The sequence below is a fragment of the Homo sapiens genome, chromosome 6 (assembly GCF_000001405.40).
Source record: "Homo sapiens chromosome 6, GRCh38.p14 Primary Assembly".
Lineage (NCBI taxonomy): Eukaryota > Metazoa > Chordata > Mammalia > Primates > Hominidae > Homo > Homo sapiens.
The window spans coordinates 165418088-165437096 of record NC_000006.12 but is presented as its reverse complement, the minus strand read 5'-3'; the positions used below and the strand labels follow the sequence as shown (position 1 = coordinate 165437096).

The following is a 19009-nucleotide window of genomic DNA, read 5'->3' as shown; positions in this document are numbered from 1 at the left end:
TTTAAGAGTTATCTAAACCACTCAGTTCAATTTATGTTCACTTCCTGCAGTTCCGTCTTTGGTACAGAAAAGGGACAGTTGCTTCCTTATAGTTTGAGAAAATCGTTGTCAATTCCAATTTTTCTTCATTCTAAATATACCACATTTTAAATTTTTTTTCTTGCATTTATCTATTCTTTTTGTTCTTGAATTACCTTTCTACTCTTTCTGTCTTAAGAAAGGGTGACAAACTGAATTGTATTTGGACAATGATAGATACTGAATCTAATGATAGTCTTACTCTATGCCATGTGTATGTTGGTGCCTAATGTAATTATAGTAACTAGAAAATGGTTTTTCCAGCCTTTTAAGGAATAACTAAGTTGAAACTGTCTTTCATCATATATGTAATTTTTTAATCCATAAGTGTATACTTTCTATTTAAACATATTAAATAGCTTAGTTCTTTTTAAAATAATTACTTAAATTTTTCACATGCATCGTACTTAATAGCAAATACAATTTAAGCACAGCCCTATGTGGATATACTTGGAAATACAAGTATTTTGAACTTAGCTTCTAATCATTTATAATTGTTATTAATTTCAAGTACCCAAGGTTAAAGCAAAGCTTTGCTTTTCTCTCCCTTCCTCCTTGTTCATTTAACCAAGTTTATGGGGTTTATTAGTCAAGTTAATGGGGTTCATTCTCTTTTAAGATGTTTAAAGAAAGAGTTCTGTAATTTTACAAGGCTTAAAAACCACATACCTGATAAGTTAATAAATAATACCTGTCTCATCCTTAGAACTACCTTAGTAATAACAAGTATTGTAGAAAGGTGCTTAGGTTAAGAGGGCTGTCTAATACTTATTGCTTCAAGTAGTCTTCATTCTTTGTTAGAGTAATCCAACATAAGATAAAAATAAAGTGAAGTCTGTGGGAAATTTATATTTTCAAATTTTGTAGATAATCATGATACAATTATGTCAAAATATTGCCCCCAATTTCTACATGATTAAAGTAGCAATTCTTATTTAGTAGAAAGTAATTTTAAAATATGTTTGGATTTCGTCAAAATAACTGATGCTATTTTTAAAAAACAATTTATTTTAAAATAGTTTCAGGACATTACCTTCCCACCCAGTCATTTGAAAGGGAAAGATCCCTCAGATTTTTCAAGATTTTTGCTCAGAGAACAGCAAATTTTTCATCTAGAGTATTCTGAATCTGCAATTTTATAAACTAGCCAGTCGAAGTAATGTGAGTGAGTCTTAGAAGGTTCTCAGAAGGGAAGATTTCTAATGAAAATGAAAAATGTAACCAAATCACTTGACTTGCAGCTACTGATTCTGTCTTCAGGTAACATGTGTCAAGTCTGTAGGGAGGTTGGACCCTGTGTGTGTTTGTGGTCTGATAGAATCTTGATCCCAATGACAGGATGCATTTTGTCTCATTTCATTATTTTCTGTGTATCAAAATAGGAGGCTATTTGAAGAGTGTTTCTGTGCCTGTACATTCATTTAAGTTTTAAATTTGAGTGTGTATTTTTTGTGAAGTGGAAATGTGAGATAGTTTCACTTTAGGTAATCTGGTTTGATCATGGCAAAGCACCTTTCCTCATTTTATGACTCTTCTTTTAATTGGCTCACAGATTTATTATGACTGTTAGGATTCACGTGTGTCTTTTTGTACTATGCACATGTACAGGAAAGTCTGTAAAACATCTTTTCTTCTCCCTAGAGCCTGTGTATATTCACGCCACCTGGGATAAAGGAAGGAAAACCCCGCCTCATCCCTGCTGGGCCCATCACTCAGGGCACCACCGTCTCTGCTTATGTGGCCAAGTCCAGGAAAACACTGCTAGTAGAAGACATCCTTGGAGTAAGTGGCTTTTTGATTCTTTGTGACACTTTTGACCTAAAGTATTTAATTAAGAAAGATGGCATATCATTTTGATGTTATAATTTAAATAGTTTCATTTTAAAAAGCATTAAAGCTAGTTACAGATCAATATATTAATGTGTAAGTTAATTTTTTGTACTCAGAAAATTCCCTTTACCCACTAACAGCTAAATGTGCACAGTTCTTATTTCAACACATGCCAGTACAGTTAAACACAAATATACTGTGTATATTCATATGAATGTAAACTAAATAATTACTGTTTTATGATTCATATTTTGCTGGGATGCATATGAATGAGTTAGCTATTGCTGTATGACAAACTACCTCAAGTTTTACTGGTATCATACAGTAGCCACGTGTGATTTCTTATGAATCTAAGGACTGGGTTATTCTGCTGGTCTGGACTGCTGTCAGTTGGATTTGCCTATGCGTCTGAGGTCAGCTGGCCATGAGTTAGGTGCTGGCTGGCCTCTTATGCCATCGCTTTCCCTGTGTCTCTCACCCGCTTCCAGTAAGGCTATCCTGGTGTGTTTTTGTGAGGTAACAGGAGTCTGAGAGAAGTAGTGGGAAACATACAAGTGAGTTTTCAAGCCACTGCTTACATCAAATTTACTACCCTCCCATTAGCCAGAGCAAATCACGTAGACAGGCCCAGACTCAGTATAGATCACTAACCATGCACATAGATACAGAGAAACTAGACAAAGTGGAGCCCTCAGTCTAGTCCTCCACAGTACATGTGGACATTTTAATGAAATTTTATGACATGGAATATAGACTTCAAAGGTAACAAGTACACAGGTGTAAAAAAATTGCTCTAAGTGCTAATAGGAGCCATGAAACCTGGGTTTTAATTTTGGTTTTTCCACCATTATTTGTATAACCTTGAATAAATTTGGTAGCTAGAGGAAGGAAGGAAGAGATAGAAGGACAGAAGGGAAGGAAGGGAGGAAGGGAGGGAAGGAGAGAAGGAGGGCCCATGCTGTATAAGTTCTCATTTGAAAATGTTCTGTTGTGTATGTAAGCTTTCAAAAGATCTGTACATTACAAGTACAGAGTTACACTATTTCATGAAGTTCTAATTCATCCTGATAGCTTCTTACAGACAGTAGAAATTGAAGAAATAGAATTGATGCTTTTGATATTAATTCATTCAATTTCCCTGTACTACTTCTTTTTTTTTTTTTTTTTTTTTTGAGACGGAGTCTCGCTGTGTCGCCCAGGCTGGAGTGCAGTGGCTTGATCTCGGCTCACTGCAAGCTCCGCCTCCCGGGTTCACGCCATTCTCCTGCCTCAGGCTCCCGAATAGCTGGGACTACAGGCGCCTGCCACCGCGCCCGGCTAATTTGTTTTGTATTTTTAGTAGAGATGGTGTTTCACTGTGTTAGCCAGGATGGTCTCGATCTCCTGACCTCGTGATCCGCCCACCTCGGCCTCCCAAAGTGCTGGGATTACAGGCTTGAGCCACTGCGCCCGGCCCCCTGTACTTCTTTTGAGTAAATTTGCCAAGCTAGAAAATTTTAAAATCAAAGAACCAATTTCATTTCTTATGATAAGTAATTGATCATTATTAGTTGATTCAAATACTTAATATGGGCCTTTGAGATTCAGTTAGAATGACTGTTATTAACGTACACTTTTGTGTTACTCTAGGCTTAAAAATAGAAAAAAAGTTTATAAATAATTTTCTTCACATAGTGTTTACATTTTGAGTAATTTTCCCTGCGGCATTGTACCTGTAAACACCCTAAGACTGTTCCGGCACATAGAAGACGATGAATAAGTGCCAGCATTTATGATTACTTTTTTTATTGTCATATGAAATTAACATATGTCATTCGTTCATTAAATTTATGCTGCATAAGGATAAAGAAATATTAAAGCAGTATTTGGGTATAAGTTCCATGAAAAAGTAAGCATTTTCTTACCTAAGATTTATGGTGGCTATCATCATTTAGTTTTCCTTTGAAAAGTACTGCTTATTATTGATTACAAGTATCATGGCAATTTCTGATAGAAATAAGAATCATCACTTAATGATCATTTCACTGAATTTATGTCTTTTTGTCTTTTTGTTTTTCAGGATGAACGATTTCCAAGAGGTACTGGACTGGAATCAGGGACTCGTATCCAGTCTGTTCTTTGCTTACCAATTGTCACTGCAATTGGTGACTTGATTGGTATTCTCGAGCTGTATCGGCACTGGGGCAAAGAAGCCTTCTGTCTTAGTCACCAGGAGGTAAGGCCTTTAAATGCTGCATGTTAGAATTTTTAGTTGTACCTAGCTCATTGAAGGTGCTTGTTAGTATTGCTAAGTAATACTAAACTGAAAATACATGAATTAATATTTAAAATCACAATTTGCTTAACAGTGTTTTGATACTAATGATAATGATTTTAAAACCTGTTTCTGTTTAGAGAGGAAACAGGTTACATAAGAGATATGGTCCTTTTGTTAAGTAAAATCCAGTGTAACAATAAAAGGTATGCTGTACTCTGAGTCATAGAAAGTAGTAGAAGGACTTTGGAGACTTTTCACACTCTGGTTGTCTTTATGTCTTCTTTAAAATGTCTTTTTCTTAGCTTGTGTCCTGCATAAAAGACTCTAGTGTCAAATACATTTGAATTCCATTCACTATTCACTCAATAGGCTCATTACTACTAAAAGCAAATATTAAAATGATACATTTATCACATCCAGTATAAACCAGTTTCCTTCAGTGGCCTCACTCCTGTTCACTTGCCTGAATGAACCCATCTCCTGCGACCCCACCTGTCCCTCACTCGCTCCAGCCACGCTGGATCCTCAGGCAAGGCTGACAGGCTACTTAACTGAGGCCTTTGCATTTTTTCTTCTCTCCACTTATCCCCCTCACAGCCACATCCTTCAGAATTTCCTTAAATGTTGCCTTCTCTATAAGGCCCTCCCTGAACACTTCATGTACATTTGAATGGCTCCTATCCAATGTTTCTTTCTCTCTTCTTCTGCTTTTTCTCTATAGCACCTGTCACTATCTAATATATTATATGCTACACTTATTTCATTTCTTGTCCTTCTCCCTGAAGTACACTGAAGGCCACTCCATTTCTGTTATTTACTACAGTATCTCCAGCACCTAGAATAGTGCCTGGTACATAATAGACACTCATGAATATTTGTTGAATGAGTGAATAATAAAAGAAGTAGAAAAGCTAGTAATTTTGAGGAACTTGTTAGCTTGTGTATAAATATATGTGTATGATTTTTACATTTTAGAAATATTTCATTATTTAAAGTGGTCATTAGATTGCTTTTCAATAGTATTTTTGTTAAACCGAAAAGTAGTAATTTTGTGAAAATCATTGGGCTACAGCTCTCTTAACAATCAGTTTGTTTTCCATTTTATCCAAAATTAAGATGAACAAGAGAACATTAAAGTCAGTTAAATAGATGGGGAAAATATAAAAGAAAAACCTTGTAAATATTTGGTGCTTTGTGTTTGGAAAATGTTCAAAAGCTCAGTGATGTCAGAAAATTCTTCATATACATGTATCCCCGAGTCCTTTGTTGAGATGACTACAAGTAGTGTGTGTGTGTATATATATATATATGTTATGTATGATATATATTATATATAGTATACTATATATAGTATATATATGTTATGTATTATACATATGATATATAGTATATTATATATAGTATATATATATACGTTATGTATTATTACTTATAGGTATGTATTTCTTGTTTTTTTTAGGTTGCAACAGCAAATCTTGCCTGGGCTTCAGTAGCAATACATCAGGTGCAGGTGAGTCTTTGGGGTGTTTTTGCAGGGGCTTCCTAAGGGAGAAGAGGTTTTTGGAGTGAGGCATTGAAGACCGGAATAGAGGTTAAGTCACCCAATGCCTTATTTTGGGATATTACAATTTTCTGTTATTTCTAGAAATTTTAACTTAATCAGTTATATTTACTTACTCCCTGCCTTAAATATTTTGCAATATATGTGTGTCCATTCACATACATATATATCTATATATAAAATAAATACATATATAATTAATGCAATAAATGGCATATGTCCTGCTGTAGTATTTGTTTTCCACTGAAAACCTAGGAACAATCTCCTACTGGAGTTGCATTGATATTTTTATGATTCCATTTCCTAAATTAAATTTTCCTCTAAGTGATCTATGAAACATTCTAACTTTAAGATATCTGGTTCTTTTGAAGATATCTAATTTAAAAATCACCAACTACTTATAGTTTTACTGGTGGTTAGACTTTAAAGTTCAAGAACATGGTAGCAATATAGCGTTCTTTGTATCTTCTCCTTCTCTCTTTTTATTTTTTTTGGTGGTGGTTTTATTTTTCTACTTCTGTTTCAGCAAATTGAGGTTGATGAGGGAAGAACTGTATGCTAGGAAGAAAAATCGAGCTGTAGGATAATAGAAGGAGTAGAAAGGACTCGAATTATCAGGTGTAGGTGGAATATGTGCTCAACTACAGTTTTTAGAAATACAGTGTAAAGTAGTTCTAAAGAGAGACTTGGGTCGACTATCCAGACCTGAATGCTGCTTCTATCACTTATTAATTCTGAAGCCTCAGTAAGGTTCTTAACATCTTTATAAGTCCATTATGAAATGTAAATTCCAAACCTATAATGTTTTGTGGTGCTTGAGACAATAAATAGAAAGTGCTTAAAACAATGTTTAGCACATTTAAGTATTCAGTAAATATTAATGGTTATTGATATTATTATTACATTATAACCCAAGTGATTGTGTTAGGCCTTCTTTCAATAAATAAGGTAATTAGTATTCTGGAAGTTTTATTTTGAAATAAGCAGAAATCTCTTGTAATTGTACCTATTATTTTATATGGTAGGTATGCAGAGGCCTTGCCAAACAGACAGAATTGAATGACTTCCTACTCGACGTATCAAAGTAAGTGTTCATTTCTAGGGATAGTAGCTCTTATTAATCAATGGTTTAAATTAAGGGCAGCCTGTGGCAGAAATAGACCATTGTCTATTGCAGCTGATAACTGAAGATCCGTCTTTACAAGTAGTCTGGGAACGGTTAATCATATTATGGATTGTAGAGTTATATTCTCATTCACGTTCACTCTAAAGTGAAGGATTGCAGATATATATGTGATGATGTTAATTTTCCATTTGATGTATGTTTTCTAAATAGACTGAGAATATGTTAAAGACACTAAATATCTCTATTTATGCAGGAGAATACTGGCTACAGTAGGAGGGAAAATATTCTGGTTTATTTTCTTCCAAAAAGTCCTATTTGGTTTTTCTAACAATGTCAGTAAATTAAGCATCATTATTATTATTATTTAAATTTTCCCATGTATAGTATCTCAGTTATCATTTCTGAGAAAATGTTTTATTTCGCTGGTTTGGCCTAGAAAAAATCCCTTTGGCTGGCAGTGGAAGCAATTATATAATAGATATTTATTAAATCACATATTTTTATTGGTTTTATTTACTACAGGAGTCTGCATCTATATATCTGACCCATGTAATTAATCACTGAAATCTAAAATATGCGCCGGGATGTGGTAACTTTAGGGTCATGTCCTCCTACAAGTTCACTAAAGGAATAATGTAGTTTTTCCTCTGTGGCCTCCAGCAACAACGATGACATGTTATGTTTCACATGTCACTGTATATGCACCTAACAGTTTACCCATCAGTAATTATTCTTGATGCTCATTAATTAGTTTGAAGTTACTAGTTTATGTTACATTTAGTTTTTGAAATAATAAAATTAAAGAAGTATGGGACTGAAAAAGCTCCCCTTGGATACCTGAGCCAACTAGGTTAAACACTACCTAGCCAGTGCAGTCTATCTTAAGAGTCCTTCTTTACATTTTCCATACGTTACATGCATATCGATTTATCTTTTTTCAGATTGACATTTTAGTATATGCACTATTTGCCTCTGAAACATTTACTCGCTGTTCATAACAATGAATATATACTCATATAAAGTCATTAGATCCATAGCATTACTTGTATTCTGACATTTCTTCTCAAATTAATTACATTACTTTCTCAGTACACTTTAAATGCTAACTTTCTCCAGTTTTCAGTGATAATTTATATTTAACTATTGATGAGATTTAGCACATTTAAATATTTGTATTTTAGATCAGAGTTATTAATGAAAATATTAAATATGGTGGATGCAATTTTATTTCTGCATACTTTGTTAAATGCAACAGACTTTCTCTCTACACTGATACTTATCAATAAAATAAATACTGATTGCATTCTCTGGAATTATAGAGCCCTCATGCTGAGGTCAATCATAAAGTTTCATTTATCTCTTTAAAATAATATTACAGTACTGATTTTTTTTTTTGCCAAAGCAGAAAAATCAAATGACATTTATCTTTATGGTTTTTTATTTAAATGTAGACAAAACCAGGAAATGAATTCAAAGTGTAATATGTACTGTGAACTAATGAAATTACTTACAGGATTTATGTTTCTTTTTTTCAGAACATATTTTGATAACATAGTTGCAATAGATTCTCTACTTGAACACATAATGGTAGGTTGTTTTTGTTCTGAGTATGATTCTGTTTAACCCTTAGGCCCATGGTGCTAATATATGGCATAACATTTAAACTTATTCATCCACAGGCACTTTCAATATTATGAAAATGTGGTGGCTTAGGAATTCACCTTGATCTGTTTGTCACTTGCGTTAATTTTGGGGGAGTAAGTTTGAATAACATTTTTAAAAATCTCAGAGCTTTTCTTTATTAATGGAGAGCTATACTTAGAAAAGACATTTGGTTTCTTTTTATGTTCTTCAAAACACCTCTTACATATGGGACATGTGGGGAATTCTCGATTGATTTTTTCCTGATCTTCAAGTTCATTCTACTTAGTTCTAGTCTTAATTATTCCTCTCTCCTAGATGGCTGTCAGGCACTTTTGAGCCTAAAGCTGTATGACGTAGAGTTATAGGCATATTTCCCTATGCTACTGAGTACTTTTAGGTCTCTAGTGAGACTTCTTTCAGAAGTGGCTTCTAGTTGTCAGAATGTATGGGTGGATGCCATGCATGCCCAGGCCTTCTTGTTACCATTTGTGCCCTGTTATGTGCTTTAATAAATGTTCTTTCTACAGTACTCTTCTGCAATAAAGAGTTTTCTCATCTAGAGATTTTATGATGCATACTGATAAGTTTTTTTTTTATTTAACATAGTAAAAGACAAATATGAAGTGTGCTTTGTGCAACATCTTGTAGAGACAGGAAGTTTACTAAAGGTAATTAGAGAATAACATAGGTTATTAACTTCAGCACATTCTTTATGTGATAAGTTATTTCTATGGTTTTATCTAGACAAAAATAAAATAATTGTACATTAAAATAACTTCTCTTGTTATGAAACAACTGAAGGAATTTGTAAATCAGTGAGTAGCTTTAAGAAAAATATAAAGTTATAATGTAGACTGACACTGAGCTTATGCTAGGGGTACAAGGAGCACTTACTGCTCGTTCTTTGTATTATTAATATGTTCTTTTAAAAACAGCTTTATTGAAGTGTAATTTACATACTATACAGTTCATCCATTTAAAGTGTGCGATTCAGTGGTTTTTACTATATTCACGGATATGTGCAACTATCATCAATCAATTTTAGAACATTTTCATTACCTCATAAAGCAACTTGATACCCTTTTAGCTATCATCTCCTTAGCTTATCACTTCCTTACGCCCCTATTTCCACTTGCCTCACCAGCCCTAAGCAATCATTGTCTACGTTCTTTCTCCATGGGTTTACCAATTCTGGGCATTTTATCTGAAAAGAATCACATAATATGTAGCGTTTTGTGCCTGGCTTCTTTCACCTAGCATACTGTTTTCAAAATCATACATATTATGCATGGGTCAGTACCTCATTCATTTTTATGACCAAATAATATTCCATTTTGTGGATATACGTACCAGATTTTAAAAAATCCATTCATCAGTTGATAGACATTTGCATTGTTTCCATATCTTAGCTCTTGTAAATAGTGCTGCTGTGGACATGCCTCTACACGTTTTTGTTTGAATGCCTGTTTTCCATTGTTTGGGGTATATATCTAGGAGTGGAATTGCTGGGTCATGTAGTAGTTCTATGTTTCACTTTTTGAGGAACTGCCAAACTTTCCATGGCAGTTGCACCACTTTTCATTCCCAGCAGCTGTGCACAAGGGTTCTGATTTCTCCACATCCTCACCAACACTTACTATTATCTGACTTTTTCATTATAGTGGGTGTAAAGTGCTATCTCAGTGTGGTTTTGATTAGTATTTCTCTAGTGACTAATGATGTTGAGTATCTTTTCATGTGCTTATTGGCTGCATGTATATTGTCTTAGGGGAGATGTCTATTCAGAGCCATAGACCACTTTTTAATTGAATTCTTCGTATTTTTATTATTGACTTGTTAAGAGTTCTTCATATATTCTAGCTGTAACTCCCTTGTCTCATAATTGCTTTGCTAATATTTTCTCCCTTTTTGGTAGGTTGCCTTTTCACTTTCTTGATAGTGTCATTTGAGGCACAAAAGATTTTAATTTTGATGAAATCCAATTTAGCTATTGTTTTCTTTTGCTGTTTATGCTTTTGGTTTTATATCTAAGCCAAATTAGAGATCATGAGAATTTACTCAGATATTTTCTTCTAAGAGTTGTAGGGTTTTTAACTCTTATATTTAGGTCTTTGATCTGTTTTGAGTTAACTTTTGTATATGATGTTTGGTAAAGGTCCAGTTTCATTCTTTTCCATGTAGCTATCAAGTTTTCCCCAGCACATCAGTTGAACATAAAATGCCATTTTCTTTCTGGACGCTGGATGCTGTTCTGTTGCTCTATATGTCTGTGGTAATGCCAGTACACTTCCTTGATTACTGTGGTTTTGTAGTAAGTTTTGAAATTAAGAAGTGTGAGTTCCCTAACTTTTCAAGATTCTTTTAGCTCTTCTGGGTACCTAACAAATACATTTAAATTTTAGAAGTAGCAGGTCAATTTCTACAAAGAAATCAGGTGGAATGCTGATAGGAATTATGTTGAATCTGTAGAGCAATTTGAAGTATTGCCATCTTAACAACTGTAACACAATTAAGACTTCTAATACACGAACGTGAGGTATTTTTCCATTTATCTAGATCTTAATTTTTTTCAATGGTGTTTTGTGTTTTTTGAGAACAAGTATTGCTTTTATTTTGGCCAATTTATTCCTATTTTTTTAATGCTATTATAAATGGAATTGTTTTCTTTATTTTTTGATTTTATACTGCAAATGTGTAGAAACAACATTGGTTTTTATACCTTGATTATGTATCCTGCAAGCTTGATGAACTCATATATTAGTTCCAATAGTTTCTTAGTTTCTTAGTGGATTACATACATACACACACACACACACACACACACACACACGATCATGCCTTCTATAATTAGAGACAGTTTTACTCCCTACTTTCTAATCCAGATGTGTTTTCTTTCTTTTTCTGGCATGATTACCCTGGCTAGAACCTACAGCACAATACTGAAAAGAAGTGGCAAAGTGTGGACTTTCTTGTCTCATTCCTGATCTCAAGGAAGAAGCATTTAGTTTTTTGCCGTTAAATATGATTTTTTTGTGGGTTTTTCATAGAGGGCCTTTATCAGGTTGAGGAAATTCCCTTTTTTCCTACTTTATTGCGTGTTTTTATCATGCAGGTATGTTACAGTTTGTCAATTTTTGTGCATCAGTGTAGATGATCATATGGTTTTTATTTTGAATTCTATTGATAGTGTATATTACATCAATTGATTCTTGGATGTTAAAGTAACCTTGCACTCCTGTGATGAATCTCAGTTCATTATGGTGTGTAATTTATATTGGAATTGTCCTAAATTTATAGAAAACTTGAATTGATATCTTCAGCATATGGCGTCTTCCTAGCCAAAGACATTTTCTTATTTTCAGTTTTTTTTAAAAAATTGTTGACTGAATGTATTGATTATGGTCCCCCATAGTTAACTTATTTTTCCAGTTTATAGTCTTTAGTTTTCAAGATAGTGATTTATAATGCACAATAGTAGAGATTCTAGTGGTTCTTCTTTTCCAGTTTTTACAGTACTTATTTCTTTGTGTTTGTTAATGTATTAGCTGGAACCTAATGAACACTGTTGAATGGAAACAACAGATATCAACAGGAGAATATATTTATTTTCCTTGATGTGTGTACTTCTCACATTTCATTGCTATGTATATTTGTTGTGGGTCCACAACAGATATAATTTATCAATTTTAAAACATTTCCTTCTATTCCTAATTTTCTGTGAGTTTGCATCTGATTTGGTGTTGGGTATTATCAAATTTTTATAAGCTATTTCAAAATGATTGGAGTAGACAATTGTATTATTACTCAATGTTGAACCACTCTTACATTCCTGGTATAAAGGCTATTTAATTGTAATATTTTCTTTATTCCTGGATTGGTTGTTAATATTTATTTCCAAGTTTGCATCTATATTCATACATCGGATTGCTCAATGGTTCTTTTTTTCTATCTTTGGATAGTACTGGTATTGGGTTATGCTACACTTATAAAATGAGCTCAGAAATGTTCCATTCTTTTCTATGGACTAAAGTGGTTTAAATAATGTACATATTATTTGTTCACCTGATGTTTGATATAAATCAGCTAAGACCCCATTAGAGTCTTATTGGGGTAGATCTCTGATTCTCTTTTCAATTTCTTCTATGACATTGGATCCTTCAAGTTTTCATTCACCCTTTTCTTTTATAATGTTTCTTGGGAATCTGTTATATTCCTATAATACATAGTAACTGGAGTTATCAAATGGTGAGCAAAACCCTTCACAGCCTCTGTCCTCATTGAGGTTCTAATCTGTGGGGAGACAGACATGAGCCAAATATCAACATAACTATGAAACTAGTCAGAGTCAGGCCTATTAAGGAGCATAACAGTGCCCTGAAAGCTTGTGATGGGATCTAACGTAGCTGGGGAGGCTGTGGCAAGCTTTCCTGATGCTGTGACTTTGGTCTGGTGGATGTGTGGAAGTTACACAGGCAAAGAGGAAAGAGGGTTCTACTTTGGGGGATGGGGGAACAGTGTGCTCCTGTGTAGAAAGGTCCTGGAAGGGCCAAGTCACCCAGGCCTGGGAGGGAGTTTTTAATTAAGGCTTGTAAGCTAGAGGTGCAAGATCAGATATGTGTTTTGAAAAGATAACCCTGGATTAGAGGAAACAAGTGGGGAATGAGGTTAGACTTTTTTGAGGATCTTTTTTATAATACGGAAGATTTATTATTTTCAGACAAGCAAATCTGGGTAATTTTTTTTTTTTTTCCTGAGACATAGTCTCGCTCTGTCAGGAGGCTGGAGTACAGTGGCATGATCTCGGCTCACTGCTACCTCTGCCATTCTCCTGCCTCAGCCTCCCGAGTAGCTGGGACTACAGGCACGCGCCACCACACCTGCTTAATTTTTGTATTTTAGTAGAAACGGGGTTTCACCATGTTGGCCAGGATGGTCTCAATCTCTTGACCTCGTGATCCACCCACCTCAGCCTCCCAAAGTGTTGGGATTACAGGCGTCAGCCACCGCGCCCGGCCTAATCTGGGTAATTCTTAAATTACTAGGTGATCAGTTCATCTAGGTCAGTGCTTCTCAATAGGTTGATGCTGACATTTAGGCAGAGCAGTTCCCTCTGGCACAGTGTTATCCTGGGCACCGCAGACCTGCAGCGTCTTTAGCTTGTGAGAACTCGTAACCAACAAACATACCTGCACTCATTTCCAGACGCCCTGCGGCCAGGTGGCTCAGCTGCTGGTTGGGAATCAATGAATTAGATTTTCAAATCAATTTTTATAAATTTGTAGGTACTTTATATTTCCTTTCTGATCTGAAAACATCAACTACTTAACTCAAATTAGTGTGAGATAATAAAAGAGAGGATTTACTGGCTCAGACTGCTGAAAAGCCATTGAATGTTCAGGCTTATATAATTAGCGGACATGGGGGCTCAAATAATCTTTTCATGAATATGTCTTTCTCTGTTTCTCAGTTCAACTTACTTTTGTGTAGTCCTTAGTCTCAAGCAATTTCTCTTTACATGATGGCAGCAATAGCCCTGACAGCTGTCGTCTTATGTTTAAAATGAAGTTTTATATCAAAATCAATAAATAATCAGTGTTTATATCATATCACTCACTTCACCAACAAGATAATAAATGAAGCACATTTGTTTCCTAATTTTTTTTACTCTTCTTACCTACTACCCTTACATAGTTTTAGATATATAAATATTTTTATATATTTCATGTTTCTTAAATTAATTTTTCATGATGATGCCTGTAATTTCTTAGATATCATTTACTAACAAGTGTTACAGTTTTAGTATAGTTTTAATGATTTCTTTGCTCCTCACTTTTTCTTGAACCCCGAGTCTTCCCATGTGTCCTTGAATTTATCTATTTCTTCATTTTTGCTTGAGCCCATCTCCTTTTCTAAAATAGTTCAAAGATAGTACATTTCTGAGTACTGTACCCTTCTTAAATATCTTTATTTTCCTTTATGCTAGTTTGACTTGGTAAATACATTTAGGCTTAAAGTAAGTTTTCCTTAGAAATTTGAAGATACATTTTAACTGAATTTAAAATCTACTGTTGCTATAAAGAGTGTTGTTTCACTTATAGGTAAACGTATGCATAGGTGTGTATGCGTATGTGTGTATGCCTGTGTGTGTATATGCGTATGTGTGTATGCGTATGTGTGTATGCATATGTGTGTATGCGTATGTGTGTATGCGTGTGTGTATGCCTGTGTGTGTATATGCGTATGTGTGTATGCATATGTGTGTGTGTATGCCTGTGTGTGTATATGCGTATGTGTGTATGCGTATGTGTGTATGCGTGTGTGTGTATGCGTATGTGTGTGTATAAGGGAGTAGGGGTGGCTTTTAGATTGACCTGATGTTTGGACTTTATAAATATTACCAAAATTTTAGATATTTTTAACTCCTTTTCAGCATCTGAGGGTCATTTCAAAGTTAAACATTAATATTTGGGGAGAGTGAAAAGGTGAACATATGTTTAGAAATGCTCATCTTAAAACAGAAGCCTCTTTTTCTTTCTTTAGACAGGGTCTGGCACTGTCACCCTGGCTGGAGTGCAGTGGCACAATCTCTGCTCACTGCAACCTCTGCCTCCCTGGCTCAAGCCATCCTCCTACCTCAGCCTTCCAAAAGTAGCTGGGACAACAGACGCATGCCACCATGCGCAGCTAATTTTTGTATTTTTAGTAGAGACAGGGTTTTGCCATGTTGCCCAAGCTGGTCTCAAACTCCTGAGCTCAAGCAGTCCAAGGGGCTTGGCCTCCCAAGGTGCTGGAAGTACAGCGTGAGCCCCTGCACCCAGCCACAGAAGCCCTCTTACTGCCTATAATTGTTTGTCAGTTGATTTTTTTGACATATGAAATAACATTATCCTCAAACAAGAAAAATTTTATCTCTTCAAATATGTATACCTCACATGTTCTTCTTGCCTACTAGCATGCTAATGATTGTGATAACATACCTTTGTCTTGTTCTTAACTTTAATATCTTAAGGCAGCGATTTTGTTATTTTACCGTTTGGTATAATATGGACTGTTGTTTTGAGGAAAACATTATTACGTTTTCTATATATTCTTTTATTCCATTTTACTAAAGTTTTTATCATTAATGATTGCTGAATGGCATCACATGTTTTTGTTTTTGAGACGGGGTCTTGCTCTGTCGCCCAGGCTGGAATACAGTGGCTCAGTCATGGCTCACTGCAGCCTTTGCCTCCTGGGCTTATGAAATCCTCCCACCTCAGCCTCCTGAGTGTTTGGGACTTCAGATGCATGCTGCCATGCCTGACTAATTTTTATATTGTTTTGTAGAGAAGGGGTCTCGCCATGTTGCCTAGGCTGGTCTCAAACTCCTGGGCTCAAGAGATCTGCCCATCTCAGTCTCCCAAAGTGCTGGGATTACAGGCATGAGCCACCACACCCAGGCTCATCATATGCTTTTTGACAACCATGACGATAATCTCGCAGATTTTTCTCCTTTGTCTTATTGCTATTATGAATTATGATAATAGACTTTATGCTACTGGACAGTTCAGAATAAACTCTGTTTTTAATATTGTCATATTTGTTTAATTATTGCTAAATTTGATTGGGTTGAATTTTTATTTATAACTTTTCTTCTGTTTCAAAAGTAAATCTGTGATTTTCTTTTTTATAGTTTCTTTGTCAGTTTTCAGTATCAGTGACGCAGCATACATTGTAAAAACAACTGGAAAAAATTGTTCTTTTCTGAATGTAGATCAGTATAAATTGTACGGGAATTTGTTGAAGATTTTTAAAGAATTAATATTTGAAGCCATTTTAGGCTGGTGCCTTTTTTGCTAATATTTTTTGATAGTTTTTGAATTATCTTTATGATTCTGGTTGGATTTATATTTTTCAGCACTTTCTAAGCTTATTTTATTTTCTGAAACATTGTCCATTTGATCCAGATTTTAAACAAATATTAACATATTTATGCCAAAATATTAAGCAACTGACATTACCTCAAACACTGCAGATACAGATTTCACTGAATATAATTTAATGTTTAATAATGCAGGATCATTCTTGTTACTTAATAATTTAAAATCTCATGGGTTTGTGAATTAGATGAGTGATTCTTCTGTATTTGCCAACGACTCAGCCCCATCACTCTCGCTGTGCCTTTATGTCATTCATTTTTCCTCAAATATTTATTGAGAGTTTTGGGTTATGGAGATCCTATATGTTCTAAGCCAGGGGTTTGTTGGCAAACTTTTTTTTGTAAAGGGCCAGATAGTAAATTGTTATGCTTTGTGGGCCATACTCTCTTGCAGCTACTCAACTCTGCTGTTGTAGCAGCCATAAAAATAAAGAAATGAATGAACGCGGCTATGTCCCAATAAAAATGTTATTTACATTAACAAGCAGGGAGCAGGGTTTGGACCACAAAATTTCGCTGGCCCTAACTCAGCCTTGTTCTGAGCATTTGGAATACTGTGGGAAAAGAGAAGTGGTTTCTGCTGTTTCTGTAGCTCACAGGCTAAGGGAGGTGAGAAGTAACCTAGAGGTCCTGATACTAGGCAGTATACTCAGTCCCTGCGTAGTGGGCACAGCCAGTATTTGTTTGGTGTATAGTAGCAGTGAGTACAAACATGTAATAGTGTAATAGTTCTATAGTAGTAGTGAGCACAAACGTGTAATAGGATGAAGACAGTTACCTAACTTAGACTTATTTCTATTAAATCTATACATTTTATATGAGATGCTATATTTTGCCCTGGCTGCAAGGTTCCTCTTGCAGAGACTTTGTGATGGCTGTTTTACTGTAAGGATGAATTCTTTTTCTCCGAGGAATAATTTCATGGCTATGATCTGGATAGTTGAAGTTACCAGAATTCTCAATAGAGGTAAATACTGTATTAATGGTGCAGCTGTAGCCCCAACCCACTCAGGACAGTAGGATATGTTAGGCATTGAAGACATATTTGTTGAAGGAAATGGAAGAACAAATGAGTAATGAAATGAATACATGGTTTCCATTTAGAAATGGAAAAGCATATTTGTTATAAAAGCATGGGCCATGGGAACAGCTAGTATCAGTTCAAATACTGCTACCATTTACTATTCATGTAATAATGGGGCAAGTTACTTCTCAGTGCCTCAATTTTCCTAATACGTACAATGGGAAAAGATTTTCCTGCGTTAATATTGTTATTGTGAGGAGCAGGCAAATCAATTCATATAAATTGTATAAATGTTCCTGGCACATAGTAAACACTTAATAATCTGTACAAATTTTTATTAGACAGTACATCAAATAAAACTCAGCTAATGCAAATATGAAAGCCATGTATCTCCTTAGAGGTTATATTTCATAGCTTTTACACCTGCTGCATCACAGACTTCAACTAATCAGAATGAGTGGTGGTCGTAGTGCTGACAGAGGCTCAGATCTAGGCACCAGGGAAGGCCTGAGAGGTTCTGGAAGAGGGCCTTGGATGGCAGAAGGGCACTGGGAAGTTAGGCCAGCAGCTGCTTACCAACTAAAACAGAAGTGTCAGTTGGTGTCAGAATACACGACTGATATGCTTCCCTCCAGCACAGCAGTATGGATGCATATCCGCTGTGTATTCTGTTGGGATCTGTTAGTATTAGCATGTAACAGTGACTTTTATATCATATATATGAAATATTTATATACTTGTATATTTATTTACTTATAATGCTAATACCAACCAATTAGAGTATAGGACAGCTGAAATTAATACTTATTTTATGATAAAGTTTACCTGCAAGTTCTTTGAATGTCTCATTGTCTTCCTCTTATTTTGTCATTTGTCTTTAGATATATGCAAAAAACCTGGTGAATGCCGATCGTTGTGCGCTTTTCCAGGTGGACCATAAGAACAAGGAGTTATATTCAGACCTTTTTGATATTGGAGAGGAAAAGGAAGGAAAACCTGTCTTCAAGAAGACCAAAGAGATAAGGTACAGCTAGAAGTAGAATGTCCTATCCTCTTACGGTAGATGTGCAGGCGTTCCGTTACCCATTTTTCTGTGCCTATTCACAGGTATGCTGACAATACTTGTCATACTGTGATATCATTCCCACCAGGACCCGCCTCCTGAAGGTAGTACTTCTGGGAATGACATTGCAGGCAGTGCCCGAGAAACCGCGCCTAGGAAGCCTTAGCGTCACTCCTGGAAATGCCGTCTTCCGGAGGCGGTCCTTTTGGAAATCATGTTGGAAAAACTTTCTAGTGCTCCCAGGTAGGTAAAGGTACACTCCACCTGGAATCTGCAGGTTTTCCCATGTCCAAGAGAAAAGGTGTGCTTATGCAATTCGGCCCCTACTTCTTCCCAACCGGTGGCCTGTCTCGCAGTCCAGACAGTAGTAGAAATTGATCTGGTATATTTGATGACTTAAATACACTCTGTGACTGACCAGCTGTTTTAATCAATCACATAGCACACCTGTGTTGCATCTTGAAACTGAAGTCTTTGTTTTTTTAAGTGGCAGCCGTTGTCACTTAAA

At 35.3% G+C, this 19009-nt stretch overlaps 1 protein-coding gene across 13 annotated transcripts in view; it reads left to right on the top strand.

Annotated features, from left to right (window-relative positions):
- PDE10A (phosphodiesterase 10A) overlaps positions 1-19009 on the top strand; it is a 660764-nt gene that overhangs the window by 550956 nt on the left and 90799 nt on the right. For all 13 annotated transcript variants that reach the window (XM_011535387.4, XM_017010194.3, NM_001385079.1 and 10 more), the window contains 6 exons: positions 1720-1860; positions 3968-4123; positions 5625-5675; positions 6752-6810; positions 8388-8439; positions 18320-18462. In XM_011535387.4, coding sequence (XP_011533689.2) covers positions 1720-1860; positions 3968-4123; positions 5625-5675; positions 6752-6810; positions 8388-8439; positions 18320-18462 — 602 coding nt within the window. The remainder of the gene's footprint in view (positions 1-1719; positions 1861-3967; positions 4124-5624; positions 5676-6751; positions 6811-8387; positions 8440-18319; positions 18463-19009) is intronic.